A 16329-nucleotide genomic window follows, 5' to 3' on the forward strand; every position below is an offset into this window, starting at 1 on the left:
CTTGGAGCTTCCTTTGGGGGAACATGGAAGGACATGTGACATGAGTCTCCTAAAAGTTGAAGAGGGGACTGAGGGCTGAGGGCTAAGGGCTGAGGTGTGCAGTTAGCAGCAGCCTGTGAATGTCTGAGTTGCTGAGAAATTCACAGAGTAGAGTGGCATCCCTTCCTTTTGTCTTTAGCTTCTGAAGTTCCATTAAAGTCCTGGGCTGGGCCATGGGGGCTGGGCCTCTTCCCCCAGGAAGATCTTCTCTATTTCACTGCAGGATTGAAAAGAGCAGGGATGACAGAGCCCAAGTAGAGGCCAGGGGGCCTGGAAGGAAGGGGGCACATGAAAGAGGAGAAAAAGAGTGGGAGGGGACATAGGAAAAGATTTAGGATGTTGTGTCAAGAGGCTTATAAAGTTTGAAAGCTGGAAGAGATTTTTAGAGCTATCTCTCACATTCCTCATTTCACAGGAGAGGAGCTGTCAGATTCTCAGAGAGAGAAAAGTACTAGCCTAAGGGTTCATCGTAAACTATTGGTGGAGGTGAGACTGGAATCCAGGTCTTTTCACTTCCAGACTGAACTTATTCATTATCTATTGCGGTGCAAGCAATTAACCCCAAAATTAGTGGTTTTAAAACTATAAACACATATTATTTCACAGTTTCTATGGGATAGAAAAATGAGTGTGTCTTAGCTGGGTCCTCACAAACTCTCAGGATGCTGCACTCAAGGTGTTAGGAGGGGCTGTGTGCTCATTTGAAGGCCTAATTGGGAGAGGGTCTGCTTCAAAGTCCACTCAACCAGCTCACTTGTTGTCAGAATGCTGTTCCTTGCAGGCTGTTGGAATGGGTTTTCTGTTCTCCATTGGCTGTTGGCCAGAGGCCTCTCTAAGTCCCCTGCCATGCATCACTCTCCATGTGGCCCCTCACATTGTGGCAGCTGGCTTCCATCAGTTTGATAAGTCAGGGTGCAAAAGAGAGTGAGCAAGATTGAAGCCAGTCTTTTTCTAACCTCACCTTGGAAATGACATATCATCACTTTTGCTGTATCTCATTCACTGAAGTAAGCCACTCTCTATAGCCCACACTCCTGAACAGTAGAGGCAGGAGCCATCTTCTTAGAAGCTGCCACCATACCAAATACTTCCTGCTAATATTTGCTGCCTCTCTGAGCCATATAGCAGAGAGGGCTGGGAAGGCAGCCCTAAGAAGTGTGTGTTTTGTTCTACAGCTATTCGGCCCCACCTTTCCTTTGGAGAAAACACTCTTCCCACAAGGAAGGGGAAGCAAGAATTAGTGGCAGCAAGGACAATTTAAGCCCTTGAAAGAAGCAATCATCACATTGATTAATAAATACTTAAAATTTCTTTTTTTCATTGCTGGTCAATTGTTTGGTGATAAGATAGAGTAAGCAAGGAATTCAATTTAGAAACTAGAGAAAGCTGGAGTCTGAATTTCAACCAAAACAAGTCACTTACCCTCATGAAACCTCAATCCGCTGATCTACTCACCAGGATGACAGTGTCAACTTTGTAGGATTAATTGAATAACATTAACGTCTTTTAAAGTTAGCTCTTTCATATTGAGTGACTTAGTTAATAAAAACAGGCCTACTGGGATGTCAAATGAGGACTTCCCCTCTTGCACTCATCCTAAACTTGAAAAGAGTGGATATGGTAGCCAATAGGATAAGGCAGGAAACAGAAATAAGTGGCAGAACTATGGGGAAGAGCAGCCAAAATTCTGAGTATTTTCTGATTGTATGATGGTGTATTGGTTTGCTAGGGCTATCATAACAAAATACCACATAATGGGTGGCTTAAGCAACAACTGGGTTTCTTACAGTTCTGGAGGCTGGAAGTCCAAGATCAAGGAGACAGCAGGTTGAGTTTGTTCTGAGGTTTTTCTTGTTGGCTTGCAGATGTCCACCTCTTGTTGCCTCTGCATATGATTGTCCCCATGTGCCCAAATTTCCTCTTCTTATAACAGCATCAGTCAGATTGGATTAAGGCCAACTCTAACAGCCTCGTTTGAATTTAATCCCCTCTTTCAAGGTCCTAACTCTAAATACAGTCACATTCTGAAGTACTGGGGGTTACAGCTCCAACATATACCTTTTAGAGAACACAATTCAACCATAACAGATGGCATACCGAAAAAAAATGGAGAGAATGAGCTGAAAATGCAGGAGAACTAATAAGAGATTATTAAGGTAGCCAGATACAAAATAAATATTTAAAAAGGCTTAGTGCTTTATTGCATATCAGTAATGGCCTACTGAAAAATACAATGGAAACAATGCCATTCACAATAACCACCGATGCTTGGTCTGCAGGAGTGTTTCCACACAGGGCAGAGAGAGAGAGAGGGTGTCTTGTGACTTGGGGCTTTACTTGGTCATCTGGGCACAGAAAGAGCACAGCTTGCAGCCAGAGTTGCATGAAAGATAGAATGAAAATATTTCAAGCCTCTCATCCTCAAACTTCTAACCACAAGGGCCCCAACTCCCAGCATGCTGCTGTTGAGTGAGACATAAGTGACCTGCCATCCCTCTGGGTCTTCGTTCCTTTCTCAGCTAGGGCACATGTCCTTATAAACCTCCTAGTCCAGTCTGCCCTGCTCCAACTCAGGGACATGTTAACACAGGGAATATTAATCCCCCAAAATAACCTTTTCTTCTGGAAACCACATCTTGAGCATGGAAGAAAGTCCTTTTATATCATCAAAAGCCTCATTTGGGAAATTTCCGCAGAACAAAGAGACTCTCTATGCTAAAAGACTGGTGGTGTTCCCATTTATTGCCAGATAAAAATTGCTTGCAGCTTGAAGAAATTAAAAAAGTTAATTATAGAAGTAATGTGTAATAAAACTCAAACAATACAGACAGATCAAAAGTCTTCTTTGTTCACCACTTAATTTCACTCTTCTCCCCCAGAAATGATCACTGTCAACAGCTTGGTGCAAACATAAAAAAAGTACAAAATTGTGTGTGTGTATGTTCGTTTGTAAATATATGTACACACATACACATATAGATATACACACCACATAGACACACACTCATTCACTTTATTTTTAAACATAAAAAGTTTTATCCTCTTAAATTTAAGCAAGATCATACTATATGTATTGTTTTGCTTCTTACATTTTTTTGCTTACCTAGTAATATGACTTAGAAGTCTATCCATATCAGAGCATATGTATATGTGTGTGTGTATGCGTACACACACACATACACATATCTACTTTTAAACTGCTATAGAATGTATCATGGTACAGATGTAATTTAATTGATTTGACTAGTCCCTTAGGGTGTACTTCAGTGGAGAAGTCCATATTAGACTTTGCAGCAGGCATATTTTTATTAGTTAAATAACTATGTTAAGAGTCTTGTTAACATTAAATCCTGCCATGACTATTATGGAACACTTTTTGTGCAGAGATGTAACAATTTCTCTAGAATAGATGCTGTCTTAGCCAGGTGTGGTGACGGGCGCCTGTAATCCCATCTACTCGAGGGGGTGAGGCACGAGAATCACTTGAACCCAGGTGGTGGAGGTTGCAGTAAGCTGAGATTGTGCCACTGCCTTCCAGTCTGGATGACAAAGTGAGACTCTGTCTCAAAAAATAAATGAATAAATAAACAAAACAAAACAAAAGCAAACAAGCAAAACATTGGGCTTAGAACAAATATTACTATAAAAAAAATCTGACATTGGGCAATATATAAATAACAGAAATTTATTTCTCACAGTTCTGGAGACTGTGAAGTCCAAGATCAAGGCCCCAGAAGATTTGGTGTTTAGTAGATCCAGTCTCTGCTTCCAAAATGGTGTCTTGAATGCTGTGTCCTCTGGATGAGATGAACACTGAGTCATCATATGGGAGAAGGTAGAAGGGCAAAAAGGGACCTATCTAGTTCCCTCCAGCCCTTTTATAAGGCACTAATTGTATCCATAAGGGTGGATTCCTAATGGCCTAATCACCTCCTGAAAGGCTTGCCTCTTAATACTGTTGCATTGGGGATTGAGTTCCAACATGAATTTTGGAGGAGCCACAAATGTTCAAACCATAGCAGATGCCTAGAGGTGAAATTTCTGAGCCCGATGTTTTGCTTGTTTGCTTTTTTTGTTTGTTTTTTTTTTGAGACAGAGTCTCACTCTGTCATCCAGGCTGGAGGGCAGTGGCACGATCTCTGCTCACTGCAACCTCCACTTCTTGGGTTCAAGTGATTCTCATGCCTCAGCCTCTGGAGTAGCTGGGATTACAGGCACCCATCACCACACCTGGCTAATTTTTTTTGTATTTTTAGAAGATACAGGGTTTTATCCTGTTGGCCAGGCTGATTTTGAATTCCTGACCTCAAGTGACCGAGCCACCTTGGCCTCCCAAAGTGTTAGGATTACAGGCGTGAGCCACCACACCCAGCCTCGTTTGTATTTTTAATAGATCTGCTCTTGAACTTTTTTTAAATTTTTTTTTTATTTCAACTTCTACACACCAAGGTTTCAAAAATCTTAGAGCTGAAATTTCTTCCTGGACACCCCAGACATAGCCCCAGGGTTCCTCTCTCACAGTTTATGGGACTTGGTGGCTGCCTCATTTAGTTTGCCACATTTTTCTTGCTCAGACCAGACATTAGAACCATGATCTACCTTGTCACTCATGTTCTAAATCTAAAGTCTTTCTGGATGATAAACCAGCTTCATGAAATGGAGCTCAACATCTTAATACACAGTTTATATATGGAAGGACGGTTTATAGGCACATAACTGGGTCAACTTAACACAGAACAGAATAAAAAATGACAGGCGTATGCATCAGTCTTTGGCTAACTCTTCTACCTCTCTTGGTCCTGAGTTTGGAGGATACCCAGTTCTTGCCAACAGTGTTGTAGGTACGAACCTTCTCAAATTGAGGTCCAAACTTTTCTCCCAGCTGCCACTTGGCTACTGCTGCTGGTTGCTTATTCTCTCAGTTCCACTAGCAGAATCTTCTGCATTCCCATGTTCCCCAGACCTACCACCCTGGAGCAAGTCTCTCAAGCCCAGCTCAGATTAGCGTTAGTCTGAGTTTTGAAAGACACCCCATCCATCTTGAAGGCAGAATCGATTTTGCTCCAATAGCCATACATTTTTCTGTTTTTTTTTTACCAGCTCTCTAGGGCCGAATTCAACCCGCTTCTGTTCTCATCAGCTTTCTCAAGTGCAACTTTACAGTTACGAGGGTGGCTACATTTGCAATGAGAGCCACTCTAGACTGCATGAAAAATTTAGCATGCAATTGAGAAGGAATGTATAATTAATAACTTCTTGTGTTTAACAAATATTTAATATGTAATTCAGTTGTGGTGGTGGATGATAGGGATACCATGGCCAGTGAGAAAAGAACAAACCAAAACCATGACCCCCGCCCCAAGCTTCATGGAGCTTAGAATTAGAGAATACATAGGAACAGAATTGAGAATGTGAAATGTGATTTTGGAGAGCATAAACATACATGTGTTAAGAGCACATGACCTGGTCAGTGGAGGGGTGGTGGTGGTAATATGGCAAGGACTGCTTCCCCAGCAGCACCCCTGCTGACTATTCTTTTTTCTGAGTTGTTTTTTGTTTTGTTTTGTTTTGTTTTTTTGTTTTGTTTTTTTGTCAGAGTTGAGGCTTCCAGGTCTCCCAAACTCTGGTTCAGTGCTCTTTCTACTCCATCATGTGAACTTGGCCCTCATTTCCTAATCTAAACATAAGAGGCTGGTCTTGCAATACTTCAGAGTCCCTTCTAACTGCGATGTTCTTCATTCTTATCCTCCTCCTAAGATGTATGTGGTCGCTTGTCAGCAGCATCACCTCCATCTGTCCATCTATTCAACACATATTTGTTGAGCAACTATCATGTTCCAGGCACTTTACCAGAGGCTAGAGACAGTAGAGTACAAAATGTCATGCTACCTGTCCTCATGGGATGTCCAGGCCTGGAGTAGCAGTTTGGGTTAATGGAGCCCTCTTCTACCCTATTTGGCCAAATAATTACATTTAGAATTGAGGCGTTGTGGAATGGACAAAATTGGGAACTCCTGGTGTGTACTCTGAGGGACCCAGGACAATATTTTTCATCTTTCAGATTCTCAGCACAGCCATGGTAAAACCTGTCTCTTTCGTGTGGATCTTGATGCCCTGCTCACCTTAGAGGCATATAACTTGAAGGGTGAAATTGGTACCTGGACCACTCATTCTACACAAGCACCAGTCTACGGTGTAAGGGGCTTTTACTCCACAGACATTTACAGAACAGTGGCTGTCATCCTGGATGAATGTGGGAAACTATAAATACAGTCTGGGTATAGGGTAGACATTCAATAAATCCTGAGTTAGTAGGGAGGATACTATCCCAGCCTGAGAAGCCCTGTTGTGAGCCATGTGGATGAGACAGAGCTGATAATGGTTCTGTCTTCAGGGAAATTATGCTCCATTAGGAACAGAGACCCTAGCAGCTATAATATCATTGCATTCTTAGAAAGTGAGGACTTCTAGAAGGGCATGCACAGTGAGCCAGGAATTGAGAGGTGATAAAGCCTATTCATTTTTGCCTGGGTTAATTAGGAAAAGATCCTTGGAGCTGGGTTTTAACATTTGGGAGGAATTTCAAAGAGAAAGGTGATAGTGAGAAACAGAAGAGGCCACTTTCCAGAAGGGAGCCTCCTTTTGGTCTTTGGCCTAGTTCCCTTCCAACCAAAACCATGGTAGGTCAAGTTGGCCTAGAAAGAGAAGGTGCTTTCTAGTCTCTGGGAGTCTTGGGGGTCTCACCCATTTGTTTTCCATCTGCTCAGTAGGGGCGAGAGCCGTCTGTGGTGTGTACTGGGAGATAGAAGAGATAGAAAAGATGGGCCTGGGAGTGTCCTCTGAGCTCCACAATGTTTTGAGTTCCTATGTTTTTGTTGAGGAAACTGGGGCATGGAAAATGGGCTCCTTTTAAGCACAAAAAGTCTTAAAAATGGAATTTACTTAGTTAAAATGCGATCTAAAAGAAATAAGAATGAGGCATCTCCTTTTTCCAAGTCATTGCTTTTCCCCCACACCTGTCTCCACCTCACAGGGCACCTCCACCCTTGGCCTTGCAACGCGCCAGGCTGGGCATCAAGCCAGCCTGTCTTCGATGAAATCGAGGCTGCCAGATCACCCCGCCCACTACTGTTCCGTTAGCCTGAGGTCCCACCCTCCCCTCTCCGGGGAGACACAAAAGGCTTCTGTGACTCAAGCAAAAGCTCACAATCCTTCTCTTTCTTTCTAGCAACACAGAGTGAGGCTGTGGGGTGGATTTCTCGGTGGTAACCCTTGCCCGACTTGCTATGCAGTGACCGGTGTGTAGGTTGCTCCTTCTCTGCTCCTGGGGCAACTCTGTAGACCTACACACTTACTGTCCTCCATGATAGACCCATTTGCAGAGATTTCAAGGGTCCCCGTTTGGTTCCAGCTAACCTTGAGAAGGGTCAGGGTGGTCTGGGGAGGAGCTGATGTTTATCAAGTACCCAGGATATACTGGGTATGATGTGAATTGTTTTGTACGTGGATTCCATGTAAATCTGCATGTTGATCCTAGAAGGTGTTCTTAACTCAATTTTACAGAGCAAATGACAGCAATCAGAGAAGCTAGACAACTTGTTCAAGGTTATGTAACTGCTAAGTTATTGTTGTAAGATTTGAGTCTAGAACAGGCTGTTGGGAAAGCCTGAGTTTTTCTGATATGGTTTGTTACTTAGGGTTTGAATCAGGCTGTTGGGTTTTTCTGTTATAGTTTGTTACTTAGGGTTTGAATCAACTGGCCCTGTCTCTATCAGATCAAGAGATATGAGGAACATCATCTGTCTTCTTCTCCTTGTCTTCTACCCCTAAGCATCCTAGGTCTGCTATCAAAACTCCCGTTCACTTCAGACAATGACGTAGTCTGGTTTTGCGGGTAGCGAGACGGGGGAGGTGGGGGAGCAGCATTTGTGGGGGTGGAGGGAGGGCAATAGAGTACAGAAGAACAGATTTCTAGTTTTGCCTCTGTCACTAACTGAGCCATGTTGAGTGCATCTTTCCCAATCTCCAGGCTTCATTTTTTCTGCCTGTAAAACACAGATGCATAGCTTAGTTGTTAAGCAGACAGACAAAAGACAGACTGGCTCTACCCCAACTCTGCTGCTCACTAGCCCTGTGACCTTGGAAACATTTCTCATCTCTAAAATACAGATCATCATAATATCTACTTCATGGGACTGTGATGAGAGTGAAAGAAGTTAATACACATAACACTCTTAGGAGAGTGTCTGGTGTAGGTGTTTTACGAGTATTGCTGTCATTATTCTCCTTAAATGTGTAATTAATGAAATTCTAGTATTTTCAAATAAATATATGGGAAATAACACAGAATTTAAAGCTGAGTGCCACTCCCTTGATATTTGCTTCTCTACTTTTTGCCTGTGTGTGTGTGTGTTTGTGTGTGTGTGTGAGAGAGAGAGTTAGCAGGCAGAGGTGTGAGTAGATCATGGTGAAAATTAGATGTCAAGTTATCCTTTCCTCCGTGTGTGACATAGAAAACTTCCTCATATATCAGAAAGAATACATTTTCTGTTTTCACTTTATATGGTTATAAACCAATCAGCTTTGAGCCCATTCATAAGGAGCTAAGAGTTGTCTGGGTAGAAAAGATACAGATATACAGTGGTGAACAATTTTGCCTCCAGACTTCCAGATAAGGTGATCATATAGGTCCATCAAAGGCAACAAGAATGAGCATGAGAGCAACAAGAACATCACAACAGTGCCTCAGCAATCACCTCTACACCTCTAGACCTATAGGATTAAACTAAGACAGGAGACAGAGAGAGAAGAAAGGTGTGGGGGAGATAATGGGCTCTGTGTAGCACAGGGCCTGGCTAGTAGGCATTGCTCTAAGTGCAAAGTGCAGAAAGTATGAGGAATGAGGAGTTAACACCCAGGGCAGCCTAGGCCAACTCTATCCAAATATGGAAATAGATATAATGCAAGTCATATTTGTAATTTCATTTTTTCTAGCAGGCACATTTTAAAAAGCAAAGAAGAAACATGTAAATATTAATTTTCATTATTTGATTTAACTTAATACAGTTAAAATATTATTTTAACATGTAATCAATGTAAAAAATTATGAATGAGATATTTTACACTCTTTTTCTCGCATGATGTCTTTGGTGGCTGGTGTGTCTGTGATCATAGGAGCACGTCGACATTCAAACGCGCCCTCTTTCCAGTGCTTGGTAGCTGCATGAGCCCAGTGGATCCCAGGCTGGAGAGCCACAGACCACAACCCCAAGGAGCTTCTGTCTGCTGAATCAGCCAGAGCATGTCTTGCTTCCTGGCTGTTCGGAGTAAAAGGAGAGGAAGAGGGGTCTATTCTTGCTAGGAGTTAGGCAGGGGCAGATGGAGTGCCCTGAGGCCAGGGTCCCCTCCAACCACCACACCTTTATGTCATTGTACTCTTGGCTTTCAAGGACATCACCGCCTTTATCCTGGACTCTTTCAGAGAGTCTATGACTCCCAGGAACATTTCCTTTTGCTGTGGCATGAATATAAAACATGCTCACTAGCAAATGAGCCTTCCAGCATGTAGAACTGCAGTGCAGTGTTCTATGACTCCCTCCTTCGTACCCCATTTTCTGTTACCTCTCCTAATGTGGTAAAACTTTCTAGGCAGGGAAAGTAATGGAGTTGAGAATGAAGCTACCTTCTGGTTCTGCTGGTGAAAAGTGAAATATATGTTATATATTCTAAACAAATTATTTGTGCTAAGATAGCCATTTTACAGAAAAAAACTGCATAAGTGTGTTCACAGATTTAGGGGTTCAAGAAAGTGGCTGTTGTGTGCTGTTTTTATGCTATGCTGCTGGTACCTTGGAATTCTTTGCATTGCAGGGAAGTAGTTTCTTACATCTGTAGAGGATATCATCGTGTCTGGCTGATCAGCATGCATATAACCATCTTTGGTATTAGTCTCTCAATTTTCCTTTTAGGACCAGCCCTTGTTGTCCCCACAGCAACACAAGCGTGGTCATCATTTTCTCTCTCCTGGGACTCTGAATTTTTAGCGTTAAGTGATGTAAGAATGAGAAACAATCAGTCATTTCAATCAAAGCAGGGTGCCCTTGAGGCCCCATCTGATGCCTGCCTGGTTCCCATTGTGAGGCCCAGTTGTTCAGCTTTTCCTCCTATTCCCTAAGCTCTTCCACATTCTACTAATAGATTTCATCCTCTCCCCACCCCACCCCACTTCTAAGTGACCTGGAATCTGTTTCTGCTGATCTCAACCAAATGCAAACGAATGCACATTTCGGGCAGCAGGTTGGGGGTGATATGGCTCATGATCTGCAGCATAGGGGAGCACATAAAAGAAAAAAAAAGAAAGGGTTACGTGGTCAAAACAGAGATCCCGACTGGATGCGGTGGTTTATGCCTGTAATCCCAGCACTTTGTGAGGCCAAGTTGGGTGGATCACCTGAGTCAGGAGTTTGAGACCAGCCTGGCTAACATGGCAAAACCCTGTCTCTATTAAAAATACAAACATTAGCTGGGGGTGGTGGCATGCACCTGTAGTCCCAGCTACTCAGGAGGCTGAGGCATGAGAATTACTTGAACCTGGGAGGCGGAGGTTACAGTGAGGCAAGATCGCGCCACTGCACTCCAGTCTGGGTGATAGAGCAATACTCCGACTCGAAACAAACAAACAAACAAACAAACAGACAACCCAGACATCCCCTTTCAAGAGTCCAGTGGTGGCCATGGTGGGAGAAGCCTAACTGTTTCACAGCACTCTCTTATCTCTTCTTTCATTTTTTTGTCTGATATCCCTGGGAAGTAAGCTCAGATTCAGATAGGGGTAATGAATAGTTGTAGAAGTTTGGAGAGAGCTTCCAATTGAGTATTCTTATGTCCTTGCTACTCACTCTGGTCTTTGGACCAGCAACATCAGCCCCAGCTGGGAGCTTCTCAGAAATGCAGAATCTTGGGCCCACCCTGGACCTACAGAATCAGAGTGTGTATCTTATCAGGATCTCCTGGTGATTCTATCACATACAGTTGCAGAAGTATTATTGTATAGCTGGTGTAGTGTTGCTCCTCTGTGTTCCTGAAGGGAACTTCAACAAATAAAGGTCCAGTTTCTAGGACTGTTGAAGGCTGTATCCTTCCTTCAACTTTTAGAAAAGTTTTTGTTCTAAAGCATTTTTGAGGATGATCCCTGCTGATTGTGAAATTCAAGCTCTTTACATCTTTTTAGTAAAAACCTCCTGTGTGTTAGACCCAGGGACTTCATACCTAATTAATTTTAAAGATACTTGCCAGTGCTAATGGAAAAAAATAAGTATGTTGCTAATTGGTGAGTTTATTGATCCATCCTTGGTCCTTTTCACCAACATTCGTACTCAGATTTTATTTTTTACAATATTTTAAGAGGTGGACTCCTTGATCTGTTCCCAAGATTCCATGGCTGTTTGTGTCTTGATGTCACTCTGATGCCCTTGCTTGTGAGTGCCTTGCCTCCCGCTCCCAGGAGTCTACAGTCTAGGTAGAGGGATAAGATCATCCCCAACTCCTAAATTTTATGGGAGAGGAAAGCAAGCCCCAGGGAGATGTATGTACTCTCCGATCTCAGGATCTGGCCTAGGCAAAAGGGTCAGGAGAGGTTGAGGTGCTAGGTCACAATGGGAGCCTGGGACTAGCTCTTTACAGAGCAGGCGGGCACCGCCAGGGACATCTGTCTTCAAATGTGGGGTCCAGCTCTTCCGGTGTGGCATCCTGAGACTAAGGTCTGGGAAGCAGTCATGATCCCTAAAAGACCAGTCCAGACAGAGAAATGAGGGGTTATGCAATGTACTCAGGGCCTATAATTTACAGCATTTTAGATTCTTACAAGCCACCTGAGAGGTAGATTTTATGACTGGCATCCTACAGATAAGGAAGATGAAGTTAATGGAGGTTATAAAATTCACCTAAGATCACACAGCTAGAGAGTGGGCATTCAGACGCCGGCCCACTCACCCCAGTGCCTTTCTGCTTCATCCTATGTCATGCTGCCTCACTCCCTTCTGCCTGAGGTCAGGCCTGCATACAGCGATGATGATGCCGGGCCATTGAAAGAGATGAAATGGCCCCAGTTGCAGGAGAGGAGGTGTGCAAAGCTTAAAATGAGGCAGGACTAATAGGTCAATTGAGGTCACAAAGCAAGAGGAGTTGGCTCAGAAGGAGTCGGGCCCCTGGGTTTTGATTCTCAACCCTCTTGTATTATGATGCTAACTACTTCTGGAACACTGAGTTTAGGAATGGCTGGAGGGCTCAGCTGCAGTAGAAAGCTCATGTTTGGAGTGCCGTGGGAGGGATTGGGGAGAGAATGGAGAGAGGCTTGGTGAGGCCAGCCATGAGGAGAGGCAGGCTTTGTTGAAATAGCCAGCTTCCTCATGTACAGCCCAGTGAGGCAGATCAACCTGGAACCAAGGCCCACTGCTCCTAGAGGTCAAGGATTAAGACCCTTCCCTGTTTGGGTTCTTCTCCCAGCATAGGCCTGGAAGCGAGTGCTCAGATTGCAAAGCCAGAAAGTGAGAGAGTTTTCAGGCTGCTGCTGTTCTCTTGTTTCAAAGGACAGAACCTTTGGGTGACCCCAACAGCCAAGCCCCAGGCCATGTCTGGCTTGCACCAGCTACCCCCAGAGCACAAAGTCTCCTCCCTGCTGCCATTTCTGGGCCTTCACCTCCTAAACATAGCCCTGAGCATTTCTCCAGAACTTCCTGTTTGCCTGCAGCTGCACAGATGCAGGTCCCACCCAAGGGTCATCCGGAGGAGGCTGGGTGAAAGTTGGGAGTTGGCTGTGTTCTCCATAGCTCCTTGGGGTTTTCTCCACCCACATGTGGGTCCCCTGGGCTTCGCCACTCCCATCGGGCTCTGAGGCCAGTGGAGCAGAGGCCCCATATCCAAGTCAGCTCACATGAAGGTCAAGGTGACCCAAAAGGGCTTGTGGCCAAGATCCTTCATTTTTTTTTTTTTTGATTTTTCACTTTTCCAAACAAGTGATGACTTTAGGACATAGCGTTCTGGAGAAAACTGGGGAGGGAAACAAAGTCCTCCTTGGTTAGGGAGATGGAGAAAAAGCACACAGGGGGTGAGGCCTTTGGGTTTTCTGAAAGAGAGTCCCCATGGTCAAAGACCCCTACACGTGCCTTGCAGGTGCTGGGCCTACAGGAACTGTAAACAGAGGGACAGAATGAATATTCCTGGGGTACAGAGACTACATCAATGCCAGTGTTGAAAAACTTCCAATATGTGGGTCTGGAAAAAGTTCCCAGTGCAAAGCAGAGTTTTCCGGGCGGCTACCATTCCTTCACAACCTGTCTAAGAGGGCAGAGGCTGAAGTCACCAGGCGAAGATCTGTCTGCCGTGGCTAGTCTTGGGCTGTTCACCACAGGCCTGTCCTGATGATTAATTAGATTGTTTCAGTGTTTAGAGTATTGTGAAGATATAGCACTACATTAGAACATTGCGTTGTATTGGTTTGGGGATAATACTGTCATGCAAATAACATGAAAACAAGCTTTTTAAGGTGAGGGTTCAGGAGCCCTGTGTAACTCTCTCCTCACTCTATCTCTCTACAATTTGCTTCTGAAGGGACTTCGGTCCATGACAACATAAGGGAGGAGATAAGCAGGTTGATAAAGTGGCAAACTTCTAAGGAGTCCAGGGAAAGAAGAATTTTGTCTACAAAGTTGTGTCAGATATCACTGTTGGATTTTGGAGATTTTATCCAACATTCTCTGCTCTTTGATGCCCCAGGGGGCTGGCCCTTATGCTCTGTGTCACCTGGGGTCTCTTGTCTGCTGACTTCTGAATTTCGCCAATGAGAGCAGCAGCAGGAGATTAGATAAATGATGGAATGTTTCTTCCCTGTGTCTGAGCCTGACAACAGCTGCGATCCTCCTAGTACAGATTTTACCAGGAGGTCCATTCACAACCATTCCTTCCCACACACAGTTTTGGCTGTCAATGGGCTCCTGTTGTGCTATTTTGCCCTTTTGCCTTCTCAGTCCTAAGGGTCTGAAGACCTCATTGGTAGGCTCTAGGTGTCTCTCCTCTGTAAATAATCCCTTTGACAAAGTCTTCATTTGGACCATCTGCAGGGATCTGTGGCTCCCTAATCATAACAAGTTTCCTGAGGGAAGTAAATGTTGCACACTCAGCATCACGGTATTCTAGTTTGTTCCTGACTGTTGACTTTGTCCTATGGGAGAGGTCATCTTTGTGCAAATTGGCAATCCACAAGAAGTGAGCTGTGCACAAGAGCATTTGAAGACTCATGACACACAGTCATAGCAGGAAGTGGCAAGGCAGCAAGCTGTGAAGAGGCTTAAGGGGAAGATGGGGACCAGAGGCTGAGAAAAGATACAGATCATCCAGAGAGCAATTGTAATAGACACCGAGGTGAGCTGCTCAGATTGTGGGTGTGTGGTCCACCAAGGAACCTCCAGCTGATGCTCCCTTCTGAGTCTGCCTCAGCAGGGAAATGCCATGTCTTACTGGCGCAGCCCAGCCAGGGGGGGTATAAATGGTATAAAGGCCTGGCTATACTGCCTGATGGTTTGTGCAGCTCCTTCTTCTGTACGACCCTGCAGCCTCCCTCTTCAAGTACTGACCTCTAATAAACATCTTGCATTCAAGCTCCATCTCCACTCCCTGAGAACCCAACCTATGAGGCTAAGTTTAAAAGAATTTACAGCAAGAGCAGCAAAAGCACATTAAAATAATTAAACAATTTTTACTTTTTGGATTTATTTTCTAGATTTCATGTGTTGCAAAGTGTGTTTATATTTTATACAGAGGCAGAGGAAGTCCCAGGAGGCATGAGAGCAGGGTGAGAGCCATGGCTGATGAGTTCTTTCAGAGATTTGAAGGAGGGAATCCAGATCAGATATGTGTGCAAACTTCTAAGAAGTTAGAGCTTCGTTCAGTGACACTACGGACACATATAGGATTATTTGAGACTAATCTGAGTTTGGTTAGAGAAGCAAAGACAAACAAAAGTCACATTTAGGAGGTAAAATATACACAACCATGGAGGATGAGGGTTATGAAGCATTTTCCCTATCCCTATCCTCCATTTAACAAAAAGGGAAACTGACAATGGAAAACTTTGAAGTATCTGTGTGCCTGATGGTAAGGAGAGATGTTTTTCACATGAACTTGAAAACAGCTCTGAATCAGCATGCTCATTCTTAGGGTTATGGAAGAGTGAGGACTTGAAATATTTTACCCCAACAAGTGAAATAACTTATCTGAAAAATGAACATGCTTTTTTTTATTGCATTTCTAGATTCTGACCCACAGGAACACCCCTTGCCACCCCTTATAGGACCAACATCCTGGTACCCACACATTTGCATGAGGCTCAGACTTAATAGTGTCCTCTTCCCATGTCTCACACCCCTGACTGCTGGAAACTTCGTGTCTAACCTCATGCCCCCTCATTCCTTCCTGCTTATACCCTTTCCTGGTTACTTCCCCAGAAACCACGTGGGTGGTTGGTTCTTGAGTTTAAATATGAGTCTCATTTCTACCCTGGAGCTACCTCTGAGGCAACAGGAAACAAGAAAAATACGATCCACCTCTGAGTGGGTGAATGTCATATCCTTGACCAGAGACATCATAAATTGTGTTACAACTCAGGGACAAGGTAAAGTGAGGGCTTAGGAATTTCCTAAATGAGCAGAACCAGCTCTATCCCTAAAGTCAGTTCTCTCTCTCTCTCTCTGTCAAATGATCAATACTCAGATTGAGACAATTCCTACTTCTAGGCACACTGGACTAAGGCTTATGGCATGCTACGAGGCAATATCCCACTCTTCAGTCTTGCCCACCTCAAGCCCAACATAGCTACCAAAATAACCTAAAGAAATCTAAACTCTCATCACTTCCACTGTTACCAATAGGATCCTTTACAAAGAACATGTTGGTCTCTGTTCAGAAGGTGTTCCCATCTCTTAGCCTGCTAATACTGCCCATATGATCAATGAATTAAGAGCTTCTAAGAGCTCCTCCAGGTGATCTCTATCTCCGGGCCAAGTCTTTAGATTTAGTTTAGCTTTCAACACCTCTATGCTATAAGCTCTGACGAAAACAGCTTGCATCCTTTGGTTTAAGCTCTAACAAAAACAGCTTGAATCCTTTGGTTAATGCTAATGAATGCATTTCTCCCTTTTTTATCTCTTCTCCCTTTCCATGTTGAGGAGAGAGACAGCACACTGGGATGAAGACAAATACGGCAATAGTGTGTGGCCAGAGTAGGACCACCTCCCA

General features: G+C 43.9%; 2 long non-coding RNA genes across 2 annotated transcripts; one reads left to right on the plus strand and one right to left on the minus strand.

Moving 5' to 3' along the window:
* LOC124907978 (uncharacterized) lies at nt 11396-12148 on the minus strand. The gene is made up of 2 exons (XR_007088081.1): nt 11982-12148; nt 11396-11820 (listed from the first exon to the last, which is right to left on the minus strand). It is a non-coding gene; the product is annotated as an uncharacterized LOC124907978 (long non-coding RNA).
* A 1261-nt stretch (nt 12149-13409) lies between these two features.
* LOC124907979 (uncharacterized) lies at nt 13410-14790 on the plus strand. The gene is made up of 2 exons (XR_007088084.1): nt 13410-13582; nt 14157-14790. It is a non-coding gene; the product is annotated as an uncharacterized LOC124907979 (long non-coding RNA).
* The last annotated feature ends 1539 nt before the right edge of the window (nt 14791-16329 follow it).

The sequence above is a fragment of the Homo sapiens genome, chromosome 2 (genome assembly GCF_000001405.40).
Source record: "Homo sapiens chromosome 2, GRCh38.p14 Primary Assembly".
Lineage (NCBI taxonomy): Eukaryota > Metazoa > Chordata > Mammalia > Primates > Hominidae > Homo > Homo sapiens.